Consider the following 24,429-nt stretch of genomic DNA (forward strand, 5'->3'; position numbering starts at 1 on the left):
TGCACACTGCAAAATATACATTTAGTAATTTAGTAAAAACCTGTGCAAGAACAGACTGAGGAGCAGAAGACGCCATCTCAATCTTGGGGCAGTTGATATAAAGATGACAAGGAAACCCAGGCTAAGGCAACCTTCATCAGGTAACATCAGGAGAAGATGACCATGTCTAATGGGGCAAGGCGGACTGGAGGTGGCGCAAGTTCCTGGACCACTAAGGCTGGCTGCTAACCCCAGTGGAGCAAAGGCAGCTTACTCTTGGGAGGAGAACAGCACCTACCTCCTCTGGTCATCCTCTTTCCTTCCTCTTCCTTCCTGCCTCCAAGGTCATCAATGACCTGTTGTCTGCCCAAAGATGGGAGATTCTTATGTTATCAAACATTGATTGGTGAAATTCATCCTCGGTCTTTTCAATAACCAGTCCCAGAGAGCATCTTCTTCTCAGGTGAGCCTTCCTCCCCATCAAAGCCTATCACTCTCCTTTAGATACAGAGAGGAGGGGTGTGTGTGATGTGTGAATGATAACAGCACTCCTTCCGATGATCCTGTGCTGTGAGTCTATGGCAGCACATTTTGTCACTCCAGTCACGCCCATGGAGCCAGTGCCCCTGAAGGGACTATAAGTGGATGCAGGACTCACCTGTGGCGAAGACAACATTCCTCGAGACCAGACGGTGCTCCACGATGGAGAACTGCGGGAGCTCAATCCTTTCCACTCCGGTAACAGCCTTGTCCCCGCCTCGCCAGTAAAACTCAATGTCATCCGTGGTGTAGCCATCTGCCAAGAGAGAAGCAGGGAGACAGCAAACATCACCATTTCGTATAAATGCACGGCTAAATAAACTATCATTAACATGGAGGTTGCGGCTCTGCTATGTTTTGAGTAGATTTGCTTAATGTGCTTGTCTAGGGGAAGTGTCATCAAAGAACTAACTTTCCAATATTCTCATGTTACTGCTGCCATTTTATTTGTACCAGGTTGGTACTGAAAAGTCGAGAGGCTGGGGAGAATGGGTGCTCTGACCAGAGTTCTATTTGCGAAGTGTAACTTCAGAGCTGACCCAGACACCACACAGAGATGAATTTAAAATGTATCTCAACTGCAATGAATAAGATAGTTTTAAGAGAATGAGAATTGAAGTATGAAGAATTCCAGAAAGGCATACTCCTCTCAAGAGCTTCTGAGAGAGTTCAAAGTTCAAATACTGAAGGTGAATTTCACCAGTGGTTGATTACATGAGGTAAGCTCAGAGCAAAAGGAATGTTCTCCTTGGCATATTTGGATGGTTTTATCAGCTCTTCCTGGCCACGAAGTTTGCCAACCTTAGAAATGCCTGTTCTTGGGATATTCCTGACCCTTAGAGATGGGCACAGGTGGTCTCATCAGAAAGAACAGTGGTCGTTAGCTGGATTATAGCTCCAAATCCAGCTTTAGCACAGTGCTCATATTTACAGCGTGATTCATCATGGCTTCTTGAGGATGAGTAAGTGGGGCAATAGGTGCATTCTTACTTGTAACACCCAGGAGTCTCCTAAAACATTAGGTCAATTTTGTCAATAAGATCATTTAAAGCAGAGATTGCGAGAACAATATTATCTCAATATAAGACTTTTTAATTTGAACATAAAATATAAGAAAAAATATTCACTCAATATTTAATGTTAGTCAAACAAATGGACCAAAGCTGTAGGGTGGGGAAGAGTTGCTCCCCACAGCTAATGCCACCTTCCTGGTCCTACCTACTCTCCTCTCTTTAATAAAACATGCATCTTTCCACATGGTAAGTGGCAGACTCTACTTAAAACTTGCAAATGCTTCCTAGTGAAATTATTAATAGCAAAACAAGTACAAACTCCTTACAAGAACCTCAAGAACCTACAGGCCTGACCCCTGGGCCTTCATCCCTCCTTTCTCATTCACCCAGCCAGGCCTCACTGGTCTCTTATTGCAGCTCAGACCAGCGTGCTCTGCCCAGGGCTCCTGGGTCCTGTGCAGGGACACACCTCCAGATCTTCACATAGCTCATTCTTTCCCACATTTGCATCTTGGCTGAAATAAAACCTTTTGCAGAAGCCTTCCCTGGCATTCCATCTCACAGGCAACCTCGCAATCACTCACTATGCTTTTATCAGACTTTACTTTCTTCAAAGCACTACCACTATTTGATTTTGGTCTAATGGCTTCCTGTCTTTTGTGGATTATAAGCTCCACAAAGGCAGGTGTTTTGTCTGTCATCTCTAAATATCCCTTTGCTTACAACCGTGCCTACATAATGTCCAGTAAGTATTTGTTGGATAAACTTTGGGTTGATGAATTTGCCCTCAAGTGTGGAAATAAAGACACCATTTTTCTTTTATCTATTCCCAATATGGAGACATGTGTAGTCAGACCAGAAGAAAATCAGGAGAATCCCTTCTTCCACTCAAATGATTAAACCATGATTCTCTGCAGAGAAGGGACCTCACACATGGAGAGAACCTCTTCTACAGCAGATCTTCCTGCTCATCATACACCACTGCCCATACACCACAGCGGCAGAGTCCTCTCTCTCAGGAGTCATGCACTGTGTGACTTGACAGTTGAAACAGGAGCTGCTGCCTTACTTAGATTCCAAATTGGCCTTCCTGAAACTTCCTCCACTGGAGTTGTGCCCTCACTGGAGTTGTGCTCTCTGGCCACACTGAAGCCAGTTAACTTCTTAAGATCATCCTTCAAATACTGGGAAATCATCTTTTCCCTGAGCCTTCTGTCCTCTAAGGTAAAAGTCCCCAGAGAATTCAACTTTGCATCACTTGACATGGCTTATGTCTTTCTTATTCTGTGAAAGCACAGCTCTCAGAAAACACGACAGTGATGTAGGGTGGAAGTGAGGGGCACCATGGGGCCAGCCTCACCCAGGATCTACACTAGCCTACCACCAGTGCAGTTTCTCAATATGTTCATTCACAAAGACATTCGCTTCTTACCACAATTGTTTCAAGTGGGACTGCAAAGTCAAAGTCATTTATCCCCCTAAAATTCAGTATAAATATTGACAAGCCTAAATCCAATTGAGACTAGTTATAAACCAGTTCATAATAGGCCAAGATAAGCAACAACAAAAACCATATCCTGATATGCCAGGAGGTGTAGTTTAGGTAGCAGGAGGGACATTGTTAGATGTTATGGATGCAGTTCTCATCTCTCATATAGGAGTACTCAATGCTGAATTATCAATAAAGCATCTGAATACTACTCAAATTGAAGAAAATTGCCGAGATGCAGAAATAGCCTGCTTGTCAAGCCGAGTTCCTGATGGGAAATGAGTTTTACTCTGACCGCCCAGGGTCCCAGCAGTGCAGCCACTCATGAGTGATGAAGCATATTGTAGGAAAATAGCATCTCGGTGTTTGCTCTCCTCTCACTGAATGGACCGAAATGAGGGGCATTTGTTTTCTTCTATTTCAGCGCAGCAAACAGACTCTCTTAATCAGATTAGAATGAAGAACTCTTTTATACTGAGTCTCTCTCTCTCTCTGTGTTTCTCTCTCTGTGTCTTCCCCTCTTTCTATGTCAAAAAAATTATGGATGCCTTGAAAAAAGATGCTAAATAATGACAAAAGGATCAAAAGTACAAATAGGAGGAGAAAGAAACACAGATACGGATACACACAGCTTTCAATTTCCAGAGTGCAGTTCTGCTCGTCCAGGGGGTATCTCCTGAGGTCCATCATGCATGCTGCTGTCGTGGTGATTCTGAAATACACAGGGTGAGGGAAGATATTAAAGAAGGGCTGAGAAATGTATCAGGGAGACTCCTCTTAGATAAACGAGTAAGCCCCTGTGGGAACCCTGCCCAAAGTACGCCTGGCTAAACATCATTCACTATATATAGAGAGAAACTTGAGTAAATAAGAAACTCTTTTCAGCATAATATAGACCAGATTTATCAAGGAAAAAAAAAACACAAAACTTTATTTTATTATATATTTTTAATCATTTATTTTTTGATTGACATAAAAATTGTATACATTTGTAATATACAGCATGATGTTTTGAAATATATATACACTGTGAAATAGTTAAATTGAGGTAATTAACAAATGTATTGTATCACCTATTTTTTTTTTTTTTTGATCAGAGTCTTGCTCTGTCGCCCAGGCTGGAGTGCACTGGCATGATCTCAGATCACTGCAAGCTCCAACTCCCAGGTTCACGCCGTTCTCCTGCCTCAGCCTCCCGAGTAGCTGGGACTACAGGCGCCTGCCACCACGCCCAGCTAATTTTTTTGTATTTTTTAGTACAGACGGGGTTTCACCATGTTAGCCAGGATGGTCTCGACCTCTTGACCTCGTGATCCGCCTGCCTCGGCCTCCCAAAGTGCTGAGATTACAGGCGTGAGCCACCGCACCTGGCCTGTATCACCCATTTAGCTCTTTTTGTGTGTGACGAAAATGCAAAATCTACCCTCTTGCAATTTTTGAGTATACAGCACTTTGTTATTAGCTATAGTCACCATATTGTACCAAAAACTTACTAGGTCTTATTGACTTTGGATAATCAGTGGCAGAGAAAGGGGTTTCCAAGGGAGTTCTTACCTTCAATTTTTGTTTCTCTTCTTGTCTATAGGCTCTCTAGCCTCTCTACTACAGACAGAGCCTATGTGTGGGACACCACCAATTAGGTTAAGACTGAGGTCTTTGACTTTCCACGGGAAGTGTTAAAGTAGCTACAGATACACTTTGGAACTCTAAACCTCACCTCTGCTTCTTTCTATTTTATTATAGTTGTCTGTTGGGCTGGATTCTGCTATTACAGAAATTGTTTTACTGTGTGATCATCTATCTTTTCAAAACAAATATTTGGCTCCTATTTTATCAATTATGAACCAAAATTGGGTGGGTAAGTTCTCTTGGGGCCAGCTAAAGCTATGGAAATAATTACTTCCCAAAAGCAGTTAAGGCTCCACCATGCAATGGTTAAGCCAACCCTACACTGAGAAACAATACTTCTAGAAATGTCAAGTCCACTTCCTACTCTGCCTGCAGCCTTCTCTTAGGGAGACCAACTTACTCACAGCTGCTTCTTTGAAAACGCAACTATTAGGGTTATTATATTTTACACTACATATCTCTAGAACCCCACCCTTTCCCCACCACTGTCAAAGGTGACTGGACTGTGGTGGGTTCCTGAGTCAAAGACAGCAAGCCATTAGTGGGTGAGAGATACATGACATGGCCTGAGTTGAAAGGCAGAGTGGAGCTAAAGAGACTCTCTTCCATAGGAATGAATTGAACAGTAAAGATAAGAGTGGAAGTGCATCTGCAAGGCCATGGTTTACAGGCTTGTGATGCTGTTTTCAAACTGGAGAGCAAAGGATGAGAAAGCATCATAGAGGGAGAGAAGGTACAGCAAGTAGAGTTGAGGTTGCAGTCGTAGTTGTGCCCCAGGCCACAGCGGGTGGCCTTGCTGAATGTGTGCTCCACCTCTCCAGGGAGCAGCTTCTGAAAGCCTGTGCAGGAGTTGTGTAACTGGCAGTCCTGGCTATGCCCATTCAGTGATGGGGAGTAAGAATGAAAATGTGAGAATGCTTTCTCCTGAGATCCCTAGAGTCACCTTCAATCCCCAGCTGTCCTTCAGGTTTCATCTTTCTTGAAGCCCAGTGTTGAGCTTTTTCTGAATGATCTTCATTATGAATATTCACAACAAACCTACTAATGCTGCAGGTAATGAGCAAGCCCGACTCTTACCAACAGATCCTAATCCAAACACCTGTAAAACACTAGACATGTGCCAATACTGATGGACTTGTGTCATTTACCCTAAACTCAGGTGATAAAGTATGTCCTTCCATTAGCATCTGGTTAAGCAAGCAGGTTGAGCAACATTCTACTTTCCAAAGATTGAGAGAAGCAGTGAGGGATAATGCCAACATATTTAGCACACAGGTCAATGCTTAATTTTTTATGCAAATAGCATGCATGCACCATGCAGACATCATCAATAAAATCCATACCAATGGTGAAAGTGTGTTCCTTCCAAATGTCATAACACTTCCCCTTATCCATGGAGTCAAGGAGTGCATTACATTCTGTGATCCCAAATCAACACATAGCTCTTTGGCATATTTTTCTACAGCATTTAACATTCTAGCCAACTGAAGTTCCAGACTCACACCTTTCAACTCTGGCATGTGTTATGGCAGATTGACAACCCAATAACCACACAAGATGCCTATAATGCAAAATTAGAATAGAGTTCTGCTAAAATTATGAATCTTTATGAAGAAGAAAAGAACCTTCACTGACAATGTTCAAATTTTTTAATTTTCTTTTTGTTTGTTTGTTTGTTTGTTTTTGCTACGGAGTCTTGCTCTGTCGCCCAGGCTTGAGTGCAGTGGCGCAATCTTGGCTCACTGCAAGCTCCATCTCCCAGGTTCACACCATTCTCCTGCCTCAGCCTCCCAAGTAGATGGGACTACAGGCGCCTGCCACCACGCCCAGCTAATTTTTTTGCATTTTTAGAAGAGACAGGGTTTCACCGTGTTAGCCAGGATGGTCTCGATCTCCTGACCCCGATCCACCCGCCTTGGTCTCCTAAAGTGCTGGGATTACAGGCGTGAGCCACCGCGCCTGGCTTAATTTTCTTATATATTTTGGTACCTATTCACTTGAACTGAGTCAATGATTGAAATTACTGTTTCTTACTGTTTTCTTATTCACTTTTCAAACCACCCCTAACACACACACACACACACACACACACACGCATACATACACATAAACATGCCCAAATTGTTCGGGGACACCATGTGCAGTGGTCACATTATTGGAGGGAGAAGGGGAACCTGAGGCTAGAAGAATTGGTGACAGCATGCCCTTTTCCCACCAAGTACACCAAGTACAGTAGCTGTCCAGGTCTTCTCATTCTGTTATAATGCTGGCTATAAAATGGAGCCCCATTTCAGTGAGCTGAGATGGGGCCACTGCACTCCAGCCTGGGCGACAAAGTGAGTAAGACTCCATCTCAAAAAAAAAAAAAAAAAAAGAGAGAGAGAGAAAGCGAAGAAGGAAATTCTGAAATTTGTGACAACATTGATGGAATTGGAGAACATTATGCTAAGTGAAATAAGTCAGGCCCAGAAAGACAAATATCACATTTTCACTTATTTGTGGAATTAAAACAATGAACTTATAGAAGTAGAGAGTAGAATGGTGGTGGCAGAAGCTGGAGGAGGGAAAATGGGGAGGTGATGAGCAAAGGGTAGACAATTTCAAACAGGGAGAATATGTTTTCTCTTTTTGTGCATTCTATTGCAGAACATGGTGAATATAGTTAGCAGTAGAGTATTGTACATTTCAAATTGCTAAGTAAACTTCAAATGTTCTTGCCACAAAAAAATGTTAATAATTTGAGGTGATGGATATGTTAACTAGCTTGATTTAATTATTTCACATTAGATTCATAAATCGTAACATCATTTTGTGCCCCATACATTGTTCCGCCACGCAACTCCCTCTTCACAGAACCCATAAATCTATACAATTATACACTGTCAATTTACAATTAAAAAAATGGAGCCACTTTTTTCTTTTTATGTGAGGAATAAAGTAGACACATCTACTCACTACTTTTCTTTATTTGGAAGAAATACTCAGAAAACCCTCTCAGAGTGAAGAGTGAGGCACATGAGCTTGCTCTTGCTCATGCGGCAAAAGGTAACCATCAAGATAGAAGAAGTAGCTGAACAGCTGGGATAAAAAGGCAAAAAGAGAGAGAGTAGGGGTGGGGAGCAGAGCGAATAAAGTAGGCTGTGGAGCAGGAGCATGCCCCTCCCTAAGCCACAAAATCCTCATCCAAGTTGGCTAAACTCATCACAGGCTGGGAGAGTGGGCCTTTTGAGTGAATCGACCCTGGGATGTTGCAGAAATCATCGAATGTGTGCTCCACCTCTCCAGGGAGCAGCTTCTCAAAGCTTGTGCAGGAGTTGCGTTAAGGTTGAGAAGGGTTACAGAAGGGTTGAGGAATTTCACAGACGGTAGAACTGAGAGTTCAAGCCTAGTGCACGGAGATCAACCAAGGGCAGATAGGCCACAGTGACATCTGGGCTCCACTTGTGTAATCCCCAACACTCACACACATGGTTTTATATTTTCCCTAATAAATATATATATTTTTCGTTCTGACAGAATAATTTAACAAACATCTAGTGCCACCTTCTCCAGCCCTCTGTGATCTGAGAATTCCACTGTTATTCCTAAGTGGTGAAGCTCAGCAATCGGAATCCAATAGGACTGGGTGAGGCTCTCTCAGTATTACTCTTCAGTAGGTTCCTTTTTTTTCTTTCGATTGTTTATTTTTTGTTTTATGATTGAGAGACAGCAGTGCTTAGGGTCTCTGTGACTACGAGGTATGTTTCTGATAGAGAAGCAGAGGAAGATAATGGCCAAGTGACAGAAGACACGCCTGTGTCCAATATATCCTTTCTTTACAGTCATACTTTGAGAATGCTGAAAGTAGAGAGAAAAAACAAACAAAAAAGTCGACAAAGAGACAGAGGACTGAGGACTAGAGAACTGGACAACGTTACAGGGATGGTGCTAATTCATCATCTCAGTGCCCAGGACAACCACCAGTCATATCTGTACTTTATGGAACACCAGTTGAGCAGTTGCTCAGTGCCCAGTTCTGTGCCAAGTACTTTAATACACACGTGTTTACTCTCACAACAACCATATTATAGAGGTATTGTTATTATTATATCCATTGTGCAGATGAGTGAACCAAGGTTTGGAAAGAGTAAGCAGCTTGACCACGTTCCCAATGCCACTGGAAGGCAGATGCGGCATTCAGATCCAAGCAGTTTGAACCCTATGCTCTGCTACATCTATATTACCTCTTTTACCTTAAACATACAAGATACATTCAACTTTTAAAGGCCTACTCAGGAAATGAGAATCTTGTTTTGAATGAAGAGCAATAAGGTTGATAAATTTATGTAGACAGAGATATAAATATTGATACTTACACATATTATAGGCATATATATACATATATATTCATAACATTCTCATTAGATATGTCAAATTGGAAATATAATGAGTAAATGCCGAAAATAAATATTCTACATGCTATTCCTACAGTAATTATAGTGACATTTAATCCAACAGCTTCCCACCCATTGTGGAATAGGGTCATTTATTAGATCATTCCTGCTTTTACAAATAATACATGTCTAAAGATATGATTAAGAATTAAAAGTATTAACATGTAAGAAATAAACTTGAAGTTGTAAGGAGAGCACTATCTCTAGTAAGTGTAAAATCATATTTTGAGATTCTGGTGACGCACTGTCTTTGGACGCTGTCTTCAACTACCCTTAGAGACCGTTCCCTGCACGCCTGAGTCAAGGATGTCAAGATCCACGGATGTCAGTGTGTTGAAGGGTTTTCATTTTGTCTCAGTTGTATTAAGCTTGTGAAATACTTTCTGGCATTAGCATTTCCATTTTTAAAATATTCACACATTGATAAATCATAATAAGGGCAGATGCAAACTCTTCATGAATTGCATAAATACAAACTTCTCTTCATAAGGACTGCTGTGTAAATGTTGCTGTCTGATGGTCAGGGACTTGCTCACTTCTGCAAACATTTGTCTGAAACATCTACCTGTTGACTTAGGTATAAAAGTGCTCCTTGTCAGTGTTGCTGGGAAAGGCTGGATATGGTCAGAGTCTGGGATTCATGCTTAGAGTGAATCCAGCAATGCACACAATCTCTTCCCCCATTTGTATGAATAGTTTTGATTCACTGTAAACACTGGAGAGAACAGATTAAAATGTCCATTGCAAGCACTGATTCTGATTTCCCTGGCTGGTCACTGTATGCCAAGGTCCTGGACCAGCTTTCTCAGAGAAGCTTCTGGAACTAAACAATCTTGGTCTCTATCTCTCCTCAGCTTCCTCCTTTTGAATGTTTTCATTACATTTCATTACACCTACAAATCAGAATGTCCATTATTTGTTAGCTTGCTGGCCCCTCACTCACCCCCAGGTGAGCCCACAAGAGCAGGACTTTATTGCTCCTGTCCACGGTTCTCTCCCCAGTACCTAGAACGGCAGCAACCCCAACCACACACGCAGAGTAAGTGTCCTGTAAATATTCTCAGAACAAATGACTTTCAAGATAAGAGGACCAGGCATAAGCTGAAGTGTGGGACTCGAGCAAAATGTGGAAAGAGAAGGAGTTGGTTTAGTCCTTCTTGGCTTTAATGTCCCAAATGTAAGAGTCAGCGGGGACACATTCCCGCTAACAAGCACTCCCAGCATGAGTCCTGGCTGTGCATGGTTATGGACTCTGTTGAGAACCTCCACGGGGTCACCGGTCAAGAGGCTTGGATAAGAATCCCCTATTTTTATGGTCAAGTGGTCTCCGTGAATCTTTATGTTGCAGAATTCAATTCTTACCTGCAGAATTCAATCCTGCAGAATTGAATCCAACATCAGTGTGCGAGAGCTTTATGGCTTCAGCTGCAGCGAAGACCACATGAAATGCCGCCTTCAGGGGAGTCCTGGATCTCTGATCACAATCTTGTTAAGCTAGCAGGACCTGGAAGCAAGTTAGTAGCTCCTTTGGTGTGACTTCTGGCTTGCACTCGAGATGCCCAAATGTTCCAGAAATCTGGGCGAGAGTTGTATTTGTGGCCACGGGTTAGCACCACAGCCAAGGCATTGCTTCACAGGTAACCATTTGGCCCTTTGCAGTCACCCTACGGCAACTCACTCTCATCTTCATTCATCGTTCCTCTGATGCAGGATGCACTGGCTGGTGGAGGCAGCTATCATTTTACCAGGAAAAGGAACTCAGATGCTAGGATGTTGGACCTAAGTCAAATAATTCAGACCAAGCATTTTCCTTGAGCAAATGCTTGTTATTCAATGTGAAGAAGTCACAGGACATAGGCCAATGTTTCGTTTATCCCGATTTTTGTTTTACTTTACAAAATACATAAGAAAACACATTCATAGAACTATCCAAAGGCTTTTGCTATGGGAACTCCTTGAAGATGTTGCTGGGAAAATGATTGTGGTAAGTTGACTATGTTAGCAGCCAATTCCTTTCCTCTTTCCAGAATCCACTCTCCCAGCCATGTCATTACAACTCTACTCACCAAAGAGGAGCTGGCTGTTTGCCTGCCTCCTGAATGTGCGCCAACTTTGTGACTTGCTTTATCTAATATAAAGGCTGGAAGTGACCACGTGCCAGCCCCATGCTTAGGCCCTAAGATGCATTCTTTTTCTAGGCTTTTCTGCTTCTTCCTCTGCTGTGAGAAAGCCATGCCCAGAAGAGTCTGCTGGTTTCAGGAGAATGAACACAGAGAGCAGGACTGAGGTGACCATTCATCTTTTCAGAGACTACCCTGGGTAAGCTAATGGGTCTCCCATACCCAGCCTGTGAGAGAGCCAGCCAGAATCAGCAGAGATGCTCATTAACAACCCAGACACACAAGCAATGAGCACTTTGGGGTTATTGTATGCATTGAGGCTTTCTAGCTGATTGTTACACAGCACTCTTGCGGCAATAGATAACCGATACGATAGTCAACACAAGTAACTGCAAACATACAGAAGCATAAATTCTCTTATCGCTACGTAGGGATCACAACCTGATACTTCTGAGGAGTGTCATAAGATAGCAAAACCCTTAGCAAACAGCATTTTTCTAAAAGAGGGACATCTGTTTCTATATTGAAGCATAACTCCACTACCATTTAGGAATCCTAATTTTGGTGAATGAGTAGTCCCATCAGGCAAATGAGACAGGCCCAATGTACCTCCTCTTGATTTTCAAAGAATTTGGCAACACGCTACACAAAGCCGCAAACTGGCAATAGTGCTCAAGCCAGAACGAAAGGGGTATGCCAGATTCTAGAATACCTGAAAGGAACTGCCCAGAGGGTGGAATGAGAAGTTCTTAAGGACTACACCGCAGGTTCAACCCTCCGAAGAGGAAGAGAGAAAACAGCTTGAAAGAATCACTAAAGTACTTTGAGTCACTCCAACTATCTGGATCTAATTATGGCACTTGGGGGTTTCACAATCTAGAACTGCATTGTCCAAAACAGTAACCACCAACCATGTGTGACTATTTATATCTACATTTAGAATTAATTATTTTAAATCAACTTAAATGAAATAATATTAAAAATGTAGCTCCTCCGATGTTCTAGTCACATATCAAGTGCTCAACAGCCCTCTGTGACTGGCTGGTAGCTACTGTACTATGCAGATTACGGACTACCCCCATTACCACAGAAAGCTCCATCAGACAGCACAAAAATAATAGCTTGCTATCTGTGTCTCTAGCCTCAGAGAACATGACTCCCTGGATGAATGTAGTTGGGGGGATATGGTCAAATGCATGGAACCCAGAGGCTTGAACGTAAGCTGTCACAGCTGGAGGAAGCCCTGCATGCTGGGGTAGAAAATGTCACTCAAGACTCTACCCAAAGTGTGTCTGATTTCAAGGTTTAGTTATAACTCAGCAGCCAGACAGAAAGACCTACCCTAATTAAGTGACAATTAGGCGTAACAAATGGATCACCTTAACCTGATCTTCACATTTATATCCTAGAGGCTACAGCCTCCAATATGAGAGTGAAACTGAAGTCAAGATCACCACATCCATATTGGCACTAGAAAGTCACTTTGTTTCTATGAATCTGTCCCACCAAAGCATAAACATTCTGAATAGAAGAAGAGATGTTCTATGAAAAGCAATGGAAGCATAGAAAAAGCTAAAGTTGAAAAATTTAGATGACCTGTGTCTGGTTACTAAATGTATGAGTGGATATGGCCTCTTTTCAAGAAGAACGGGGAGGCAAAAGAACATTCTGAAATGAAGGCACAGACAGAGAGAAGAAGCTGCAACACTGAGAGATGAATGCAAGAAATCCTAGCCACAAATGCCAAATTGAAATCTGTACTGAAGGCAAGGGAATAGAATTAACATGGCTGAAAATCCTTTAATGGCATGGAAAGCTTCTTACATTTTAATGGGCACATACGTTATTAAAGGACCTTATTAAAATTCGGATTCTGTCCCAGCACTTTGGGAGGCCGAGGCGGGTGGATCACAAGGTCAGGAGTTTGAGACCATCCTGGCTAACATGGTGAAACCCCATCTCTACTAAAAATACAAAACAATTAGCTGGGCATGGTGGCACATGCCTTTAGTCCCAGCTACTTGGGAGGCTGAGGCAGGAGAATTGCTTGAACCTGGGAGGTGGAGGTTACAGTGAGCCGAGATCACACCACTGCACTCCAGCCTGGGCAACAGAGTGAGACTCCCGTCAAAAAAGAAAAAACAAAAAAAATTCAGATTCTGGAATTGGGTGGGTCTTTCATTCGAAATTCCCAGATAACATTCCCAGGTGATGCTGATGCTGGTCTGGATGACCCTATTTTGAGTAGAAAGGAGAGGGCAAACTTGTAAAACCTACTCAAAGGCAGAAGCTTTGAAAACAGAGGAGATGATAGATACTGAGGGGATAAAATGGATATGTAACTGAGATTTATTAGAGCAGGACCAAACAGCAACCAAATTAGCAAATTACACTTAAACATGAAACAATCAAAAAAATTTTAATTAAAATACAATACACACAATATAAAATGTACCATTTTAGTGATTTTTAAGTATATAATTCAGTGCATTCACATTGGTGTGCGACCAACACTACTATCCATTTCCAGAACTTTTTCATCATCTCAAACAGAAACTCTGTACCTTTTAAACAATAACATCGATTACCCTAACCCCAGGCCCAGTAACCTGTTCACATACTGTCTCTATGAATTGACCTATTCTATGGGTCACCACACATAAGTGAAATCATATAAATGAAATATTTGTCTTTTTCTGCCTGGTTTAGTTCAATTACTATATTTTTTTCAAGGTTCACCCATGGTGTAGCATGTACAAGAATTTCATACAATTTTAAAACTGAAAAAATTCCATTATATGGATATACCATATTTTATTTATCCATTCATCTGTTGGCAGACATTTGGGTTGTTTCTACCTTTTGGCTACTATGAATAATCCCACTATAAACATTGGCGTAAAAATATCTGTTTGGGTCACTTCTTTTGAATATACCTAGAAGTGGAATTGTGGATCATATGTTAATTTTACGTTTAAATTTTGAGGAACCACCATACTGCTTTCCACAGTGACTGAATCATTTTAAATTCCCATCAGCAATCCCTAAGTGCCTATTTTTTCTTGATTTTGACAACATTTGTTCTTCTCATTTTAAAATATATATATATATATATATATAATAGCCATCCTAATGTGTGTGATGTAGTATCTCATTGTGGTTTAAGGAAATGCAAGTCAAAACCACAATGAAGTACTATATCACACACATTAGGATGGCTATTGTCTTTTTTCCTATTTCCTTTAGTTCTTTGTCCATGTTTTCCCTTACCTCTTTGAATAAAGAGATTATTTAAAGTCTTTATCAAGTAAGTCCAATAATTAGATTTCTGCCAATTTATTTTGTTCCTTTGACTAAGCCATGTTTTCCTCTTTCTTTGTATGCTTTGTGATTTTTTTTCCCCTGAAACTTGGGCATTTCATCATTATAATGCGGTCACTCTGAAAATCAGATTCTTTCCTTTGCCCAGGATTTGCTGCTTTTAACTTTATGAGTCCATTTGTTTTGAATCATTTCAAAACTTTTTTTGAAAAGATTATTTCTTGTCAAGTTTAATCAGTGAAGTCTCTGTTGCTTTAGCTCATGTTTAGAGAATGTTTTAAATTTATTTATCTATGTATGTATTTGTCAGAGATGCAATCCCACTCTATTGCCTAGGCTGAGTGTAGTGGCATGACCACAGCTCACTGTAGCTTCAAACACCTGGGCTCAAGTGACCTTCCTGTGTTAGCCTCCCCAGTAGCTGGGACTACAGTCCTGCACCAACATGCCTGGCTAGATTTTTTCTTTATTATTATTTACTTATTTATTTGGTAGAGATGGGGTCTTGTTACATTGCCCAGGCTGGTCTAAAACTCATGGTCTCAACTGATACTCCCACCTCAGCCTCCTAAAGCACTAAGATTACACGCATGAGCCACCATGCCTGGAAAATGTTTTAACAAGAATTTCTTTAAGTGCCAAGAGCTGAAACAAACGAAGAAAAAACACACAAATGAAAAAGAGAACAGCATTCTTTCTCAGTCTTTGCAGACTGCCTATGTGCTAGGGCACACTTTCCTCTAAGCCTAGGGATTGGCCAAAAGCAAAAATTGGAGGTTCCTTAGGACTTTTCTGAGCATACTTCTTGTCTAGGCATGTGCATGGAGTTTTAAGTACTTCTACATATGTGGCTGCTTTTGCATGACCTAATTTCTCTAAGAGTCTCATCCCAGCTTCTCTTTTGAGCCTTAGATGGTGTATTTTATGCTTCCATCCAAAACCTCCCAACCCAGGCATCTTTAGGTTTGTCTTCACCCTGTAGCCTTAATGAGCACTGCCTGCCCCTTCTCTTACTTGCATTCTGAGTTAGGCAAAGCTGAGATGAACATCTTGCTTCAGTCTTTCAGGCATCCTCCAGACAGTTTAGAACATCTGTACACAATAATTTGCAAATAAGATCTGCTCTGCTCCCTCTGGTAGGAGAGGGAGCACTGGGAACTAGGCTGCTGCCTGCTCAAAACCAAAACAACCCCTGCCCTAGGATATGGGTGGGGGAAATGGCAAGTGAAAAATGCCACAAAACTTTCCTATTGTTTTTAATATAGCTTTTTTCTTGATTGGGCATTTGACTGGTTACTGTGAGCCTTAAACTGATTTCCAGAGCTTCTACAAGGTTGGTTCAGACAGCTTCTAGTTTTTGTTTTGTTTTATTTTGATGTTTTTGTGAGGGGACAAGAGCTTGGAGCTTTTTAGTCTGCCACTTTGCTGATGTTACCATCCAAGTGGAGCCTAAAGCAACCCCATTTTGGATGGTAATCTGCCATTCTGACTTCTGATTAACCCCTGTTCCAGGAATGCCTCTAAGATTTCTACTTTTTCTACTGTTACCATAAATCTTGACTTTAGGTCAAAAGAGCCTGGACCATAAATCCTGCCCTTAAGCAGATTCACACAGCATTCTTGCCTCTCCCTGAGAGGTCAACTTCGATTGTCCTATGCATTCCCTCCCTATGCTATATAAGCCCTGGATCTTGAGGGTAATGGTGTGAGGATCCACCATCTTGTCTCACTGCTGCCTGAGACAAAGACATGGCCCCTGTTCGTAAGTTCTCATTAAATGTGTCTTTCTAACAAACTGGATTTGTCAGCCTCTTTCTTTAGCCTCTCAGCTTCCTCAGCCTTTGGGGGTAGGCATGTACAGACGTGCCCACTGCAGAACTACCCAACATCAGGGTTGATCACGGCAGGAGAGGGAGGGTGTTTCCAAAGCAAGAGAAGGGTCTTTACAGGCAAGATAAGGAGGGTGTTTACAAAGATAGATAGGAATTTAGTGAATAGAATTATGATATAAAGTCAAAGCCTAGTTCTTTAAAAATATAAATAAAATAGATATTTCTTGATACGAACAAACAGTTATAAATGAAAAAGGGAATATAACAGAATGTTCTAAGAAGCTTAAAACATAAGAAAAAGCAATGTACATGTGCATGCTAATGATTAGAAAGGCCAAATAAAAATGACATCTTCCTGAAAAACATGAATTGTCCTGGCTAATGCAAGCAGAAAACCTAGAGACCCATTAAGTATTGCAGAAACTGAAGCCCTGTGTGTCAGGGTGGAAAATGTTATTCAAGATCTTTTACAAAGTAGCATGCATTTATAAAACATTCCCCCCAAAAATATTTCATATAAATTATACATTTATGGGTAAACCTTTAAATACTTAAAGGAATATCAACCCTTTCAGGTATAGAAATTTCCCATATAATATAATCCACTGCAGAACATAAAAAAAGAGAGAAATCTACTTGATTCATGTTAGGACAAAACACACAAAAAAAGAAGACATATATAATCTGTTACTATATTTAAAAGACTGTATATGGTATATATCACAGATAAATGGGTGAGACAACCTTCATTAGTTCATTTTCTGTTGCTTGTAACAGAATACATGAAACTGGGTAATTTATAAGAAATGAAATTTCTTTCTTACAGTGATGGAGGTTGGTAAGTCCAAGGTAGAGAACGTGCATCTGAAGAAAGTGAGAACCATGTTGCTAGAGGGAACTCTCTGAAGAGTCTCGAGGCAGTGTAGTGTATAATACAGCAAGGGGGGCTGAGCAGGCTCATGTGCTAGTTCAGATTTCCCTTCCTCTTCTTATAAAGCCACCAGTTCCTCTCCCATGAATACCCATAATCCATTAATCTATAAATGGATTAATCCATTCATGAGGACAGAGCCATCATGATCCAATCACCTCTTAAAGGCCCCACCTCTCCATGCTGCCACACTGGGGATTCAGTGAGTTTTGGAACTCAAGGAGTTTTGGAGGGGACATTCAAACCATTGCAGGGCTTCCTACTACCACCTCTACATTGGATAGTTTATCTAGGAAATTTTAATAAATTGGCTCATGTTTCTTAGAAACTTCAGCCAAGCCATGATGTTAAATGACAAAGAGGGAACTTGGAAATAGATTTCTTGGGAGAGTTTACACACATCTTGAAGGAAGATTGGCACCTTCCAAGTGGCATACAAGGAGTAATGGTGCCTACTTTACACCTGAGAAAAGTGTTGTTAAGGTGACAAGATAGAGGAGACTGAATAGGAATTGGCCTTTCAGATTACGAAGAATGCAGGCACATTTCCTGTTGCACACACATGAGCTACATGGATGAAATGGAGGTCCTGGATTTATCATGGATCCTCTACAATAGAGCTGCCTAGATGAGCAGAGAAATGGAAGATGACCATGAAGGATACATTCTTAGAGCTAACAAAAGCCCCAATACATTCCATGGAATAGAAAACCTGCCTACTGGCTCCACCACCAATACCTAACTTCAGTCAAGGAATTTGCTGGAAAGCTCTGAGAAGAGTTAATTTTCAATATTTTCCAAGTCAGAGTATGAAGCCACCAGGAAACAGTATCAGTTAATGTAAAACTTCTTATCCATTTTTTCTCCACCCTCAAAATTAAATCTTTAAAATTAGGGAAGTCATATGTAATTTATCATACTGGGTAGGGGTAGGGAAAAGAGAAAGTAGAAGGCAGAGAGGTTGAGAAGCCCCAAGTCCCTGCTCTTTGCCACTGCAGGCTTCCAGCCTGAAGTACAAATGGGCTGTGGAAAGGGAAAATGTTAATGCTAAATCTGAATTTAGTATTAAACACTGAACTGAGAATACCTGTGTAACATAAAGATAGAAAACAACTTTTACCAAAACATTGGCAGAAAACCATGAGATCTGTCCAAATTTCACCAAGGTAGAGAAATTTTACACCTCCCTGAACAAAGTTTAATAGTAGGGTATAACTGCATTATGACTAGATCACAAGTTTTTTTTTTAATCAATAAACTGGTCGAATAAGAATTTTTAAGCAAAAAAACAAAAAAGGTAAATTAACCAAGAGCAAAGCGAAATTGAAGTTTTTATAAGAGGATTACCCATCAACATAAAATAGGATTTATCCCAGAAACTGAATGGATTGGGTGGGGGAAGTGATGTCACCAAGTGGTGGAATAGGATGCCAGACTACACCTTCACCCCTCCACCCCACAGAGAAAGATCAAATAGCCACTGTCTACAGACCGGAACATCCTTTTGAAAATTTCAATATTGAAACAAGCCTGAGACATCCATTTGGTCTGCAGAACTGATTGAAATCCAAATTAGAAGAGTAAAAAGAAAGGTCTTACTTTGACTGCACTCCCCTTCCCCAAGTCAGCAGGATGCCAGATGAAAAAGGATTTCTATGGGCACACATATTCTACATGGGGAAAAGAAAATTGGAGGCAGTCATCCCATTTTCCAAGCATTTGGAAAGGCTTCCCAGGAAGCTCACCCTAGTTTCACCTCACAAAGAACATTAGGGGGAAATAACATGGCTAGATTGCCCAGGGTTAGATAGAAACAAAGAAAAGAGGCAGAGGTCATAGTCACCAGCAAACAAATCTGGGTGGTACTTCTGTTTCTCCCAGCTGTGGCACCAAACCACACCTCATATACTAGCCACAAAGCTGATTTGGTTGCCTTCAGAAACAGAGTGGGAAGTTTAACCTAGCTCGAGTTTCTAGATGGCTAGTCAACATGCTCAGCCTCAGGGCCTACCCAATGACACTGCCCAGGCAGGGAGACTCCCACCTCTGCACATTTTGGAGAAGTGTGGAAGCTAGACCAGCTTGACCCAGGAAGTCAAGATGATTCCACTCAGCCAAAAAGCCTGCGCAATGACCTTGCCCAGGAAGGGAGACTCCCACTTCTATGCACTTTAGAAAAGTGAAGGGGCTAGACTAGCTTAAACCAGAAAGTCAAGCAGTGTTCCATTTAGCCAAAAGTCCACTCAATGACCCCACCTGGTAAGGAAACTTCTATCTTTGCACATTCCAGAGATGGAAAGGGGCTAGACCTTTCCATCAGCATCCAGCTCCTCCAGCTTGAGCTGGGAGGTCAAACAGCTACTGAACTCAACAAAAAGGTGATTCCACATCAGGATGGGCTCCACCCATCCTAAACAGTGACCCCACCTAAACTCAGGGCCTGGCCTGCAGCCCTGCTCAACTACAGATCCCAAATAGCAAAAGGGCCCAGCCAGGGAATACAGTCCATAACCAGCCTGACCAGGAACCATCACAGTAACCAGCCAGCAGCTCTGCCTGATAGCAGAGTCCAGCCAGTAGCCTCACCAGAGAGTAGAGCACAGTCAGCAGCTTCATTCAACCTCAAAGCAAAGGCAGAGACCCATCAACCACAGAATTGAAAAGCTCTGCCTGTGCAAGGTTGTCATGAGCTGGCCTTTCAGAATCACAGGCTAGAAGGCAGAGAGGATGAGATAGTGAAGGTCTATCACTGCCAAACAGAAAAACAAACAAAACAACAACAAAAACAAAAACACCTGTAAAGGCCAGAAGAAGAGCTATCTCCTCAAATGTGCAGACCACAATGGAAGGACACAAGGATTAAAAAGAATCGAGAAATCATGACACCTCTAAAAGAATTAATAAAGCTCCAACAATGAACCCTCAAGAAATGGAGATTATAAAATGACTAGTAAAGTATTAAGAATAATATTCAGAAAGAAGTTCAGTGAACTAAAACAATATAGAGAGATAAAATTTAATACAATATGAAAAATAATACTCAAAGCAAAACACTGACAAAGAAATAGAATGAATAGAAAAGAACCAGATACAAATCTGTAAGATAAAGACTACAATGATTGAACTAAAAAATTTAATAGAAAATTTCAACAGCAGACTGTACCAAGCAGAAGAAAGAATCAGTAAGCTGGAAGACAAAATATTTGAAATTATCCAGTCAGATAAACAAGAACAACAAAAGATTTAAAAAGAATGAAGAAAGCTTCTGGGTATCATAGAACATCATCAAGAGACTAAACAGTCACATAATAGGATTTGCAGAAGTAGAAGAGAAAAAAAAGCCAGAAAGCATATTTTAAAAAATAGTGGCTGAAAACGTTCTTAATCTAGTAATAGATACAGAAGGAAATACAGAAGTCACCAATCAAATTCAACCCCAAATAAAGTACACTAAGACATATAATAATCAAACTACCAATTATCAAAAACAAAGAAAAAGAAGAAAAGCATCCAGAGATAAGAAACATATCGCATATAAGAGGTGCCAATACGACTATCAGCAGACTTATCAACAGAAACCCTGCATTCTAAGAAAGAGTGGTATGATATATTCAAAATGATAAAGGAAGAAAACTATCAACCAAGAATATTTATCCAGTTAAGCTGTCATTTAGAAACGACAAAGAAATAAAAGCTTTCCCAGACAAACAAATGTAAAAGACATCACTATCCCCTAGCTCTGCCTTACAGGAATTGCTACAGGGAATTCTTTAAACTGAAACAAAAAGCCAAAAAGTAGTAATATACAACATATGAAGGAATAAAACTCAATGATATAAGTAAAACAGTATCAAATTCAGAATACTCTAGGTTAGTAATGATGATGTGTAAGATGTTATCTCTAGTATGAGGGTTAAATAACAAAACTATTAACAACAACTATAGCTACCATAAATTGTCAGGGAAAACACATCACGAAATGAGGTAAATTCTGACATCGAAGCATAAAATGTGTGTGGGGGGGAGTAAAAGTGTACAGTCGTATGTAATCAAAATTGGCTGTTATCAGCTTCAAATGAGATGCTGTAAGTATAAGATGTTCTACGTAAGGCTCATGGTAAGCACAAAGCAAAAATCTTTAGAAGAAGCTCAAAATAAAAATAGAAAGGATTTGGCCAGGTGCAGTGGCTCACAACTGTAAGCCCAGCACTTTGGGAGGCCGAGGCGGGCAGATCACCTGAGGTCGAGTTTGAAACCAGCCCGGCCAACATGGCAAAACCCGGTCCCCACTAAAAATACAAAACTTAGCCAGGCACCTGTAATCCTAGCTACTCAGGAGTCTGAGGCAGGAGAATTGCTTGAACCCGGGAGGCAGAGGTGGCAGTGAGCTGAGATCGCGCCACTGCTCTCCAGCCTGGGCGACACAGCGAAACTCCGTCTCAAAGAAAAAAAAAAAATTGAAAGGATTCAAGGCATACTACTACAGAAAGCCACCACAAAGGAGGACAACAAAAAAGGAAGAAAGAAACAAAGTATCTACAAAATAACCAGAAAATAACTAACATGATGATGGTAGTAAGATCTTACCTATCAATAATTACCTCAAATATAAATGGATTAACTATTCAAAAAAAGAGAAATAACAAAAAGTTACCAAGTGGAGACAAAGTTTTATTTTCAACTGTTTTGTTTGTTCATGCAATAGTGTTAAGTTGTCATCCTCTTAAAATAATGAGTTATAAGACAGTATTTGCAAGCTTCATAGCAACCTCAAATCAAAAAATGTACAATGATACATAAAAAATAAAAATCGAGAAACTAAATCATACTACTAGAGCAAATCACCTTCACAAAAAGGAAGACAGGAAAGAAGAAAGAAGGAAGAGAAGACTCCAAAAGAACCAGAAAACAACAAAATGGCAAGAGTAAGTCCATATTAATCAATAATAACATTGAAGGTAAAGGGAATAAATGATGTAATCAAAATACATAGAGTGGCTGAATGGTTGAGAACACAAGACCTAATGATCTATTGCCTGCAAGAAATACACTTTATTATAAAGACACATACAGACTGAAAATGAAGGAATGGAAGAAGATACTCCATGCCAGTGCAAACCAAATAAGAGCAAGAGTACCTGTACATATATCAGACAAATTATATTCCTAGACAAAACATATAAGAAGAGACAAAGAAGGTCACTATATAATAATAAAGGGGTCAACTTATCAAGAGAAACTAATGATTGCAAACATATATGAATCCAATACTGGAGCATCCAGATGCATAAACAAATATTATAAGAGCCAAAGAGAGAGATAGGCGTCCTTACAGAAATCACTAAAGACTTCAACAAGCCATGTTCAGCATTGGACAAATCTCCCCGATAGAAGATCAACAAAGAAACATAAGACTTAATCTGCACTATAGAACAAAGATGGATTTAATAAATATTTATAGAACATTTCATTCAATGACTACAGAATACACATTTTTCTTCTCAGCACTTGGATCATTCTTAGGGATAGATCATATGTTAGGGTCACAAACCAAGTTTAAAACGTTGAAAGAAACTGAAATAATACCAAGCATCTTCTGTGACCACAACAGAATAAAACTACGAATCAATAATAAGAGGAATTTTGGAAACTATATAAGCACACAGAAACTGAACAATAGGTTCCTGAATGACCAGTGGGTCAATGAAGAAATTAAGAAAGAAACTGAAAAATGTCTTGAAACAAATAATAATGGGAACACAACATACCAAAACCTATGGTATATAGCAAAAGCAGTAAGTACTAAAAGGGAAATTTATAGCTGTAAGTGTCTACATCAAAAAAGAAAAACTTCAACTAAATAACCATTTCCACTGATGTATCTTTACTAGAAAAGCAAGAGCAAACAAAACCCCAAATTAATAGAAGAAAAGAAATAATAAAGATCAGAGCAGAACTAAATGAATTTGAAATGAAGAAAGCAATACAAAAGTTCAATGAAACTAAAAGTTTTTTTAAAAGAGAAACAAAATTGACAAACCTTTAGCCAGACTAACTACAAAAAAAGAGAGGGAAGATGAAAATAAATAAAATCAGAGATGAAAAAGGAGACATTACAACTGATGTTGCAGAAATTCAAAGGATCATCAGTGGCTACTATAAGCAACTATTTACCAATAAACTGAAAAATCTAAAAGAAACTGATAAATTTCTAGACACAACCTACCAAGATTGAACCACGAAGAAATCCAAAACCTAACAGATGAATAACAGGTAACAAGATTGAAGTCACAATAAAAAGTCTCTCAGTAAAGAAAAGCCTGGGACCCAATGGCTTCACTGCTGAATTCTACCAAATGTTGAAAGAACAACTAATGTAAATCATACTCAAACTGTTCCAAAAAATAAAGAAGGAAATACTTCCAAACTCATTCTCTGAAGCCAGTATCACCCTGATACCAAAACCAGAAAAATATATACAAAAACAAAAAATAAAACAAACAAAAAATAACTAAAGGCCAATATTTCTAATGAATATTGATGCAAAAATATTCAACAAAATACTAGGAAACGAAATTCAAGAATATGTTAAAACAATCATTTATCAAGACCAAATGGTATTTATTCCAGAGATGCAAGGATGGTTCAACATATGCAAATTAATCAATGTGACACACTGTGTCAACAGAATGAAGGACAAAAACTATATCATCATTTCCACTGATGCTAAAAAATCATTGCATAAAATTCAACATCCCTTCATGATAAAAAAGCACTAAAAAAACTAAGATAGAAGGAACATACCTGAACATAAGAAAAGCCTGATATATCAAGCCCTAAGTTAGTATCATACTGAATGGGGAAAAACTGAAAGCCTCACCTCTTAGATCTGGAACATGATAAGGAATCTCACTTTCACCACTGGTGTTCAACATAGTACTGTAAGTCCTAGCTACAGAAATCAAACAAGAGAAAAATAAAAGACATCCAAATTAGAAAGGAAGAAGTCAAATTATCCTTGTTTGCAGATGGTATAATCTTATAATTGGAAAACCTTGAGACTCCATGAAAAAACTATTTGTTTACTGCTAAATTCAGTAAAGTTGCAGGATACAAAATCAACATACTAAACAAGTAGCACT

At 40.1% G+C, this 24,429-nt stretch overlaps 1 protein-coding gene across 6 annotated transcripts in view; it reads right to left on the minus strand.

The window, feature by feature from the left end:
* GABRB3 (gamma-aminobutyric acid type A receptor subunit beta3) overlaps nt 1-24,429 on the minus strand; it is a 230,212-nt gene that overhangs the window by 36,130 nt on the left and 169,653 nt on the right. For all 6 annotated transcript variants that reach the window (NM_021912.5, NM_000814.6, NM_001278631.2 and 3 more), the window contains 2 exons: nt 3,651-3,733; nt 638-775 (listed from right to left, as the gene is read on the minus strand). In NM_021912.5, the coding sequence (NP_068712.1) occupies nt 638-775; nt 3,651-3,733 (221 nt within the window). The remainder of the gene's footprint in view (nt 1-637; nt 776-3,650; nt 3,734-24,429) is intronic.

The sequence above is a fragment of the Homo sapiens genome, chromosome 15 (assembly GCF_000001405.40).
Source record: "Homo sapiens chromosome 15, GRCh38.p14 Primary Assembly".
In the NCBI taxonomy this organism is placed as follows: Eukaryota; Metazoa; Chordata; class Mammalia; order Primates; family Hominidae; genus Homo; species Homo sapiens.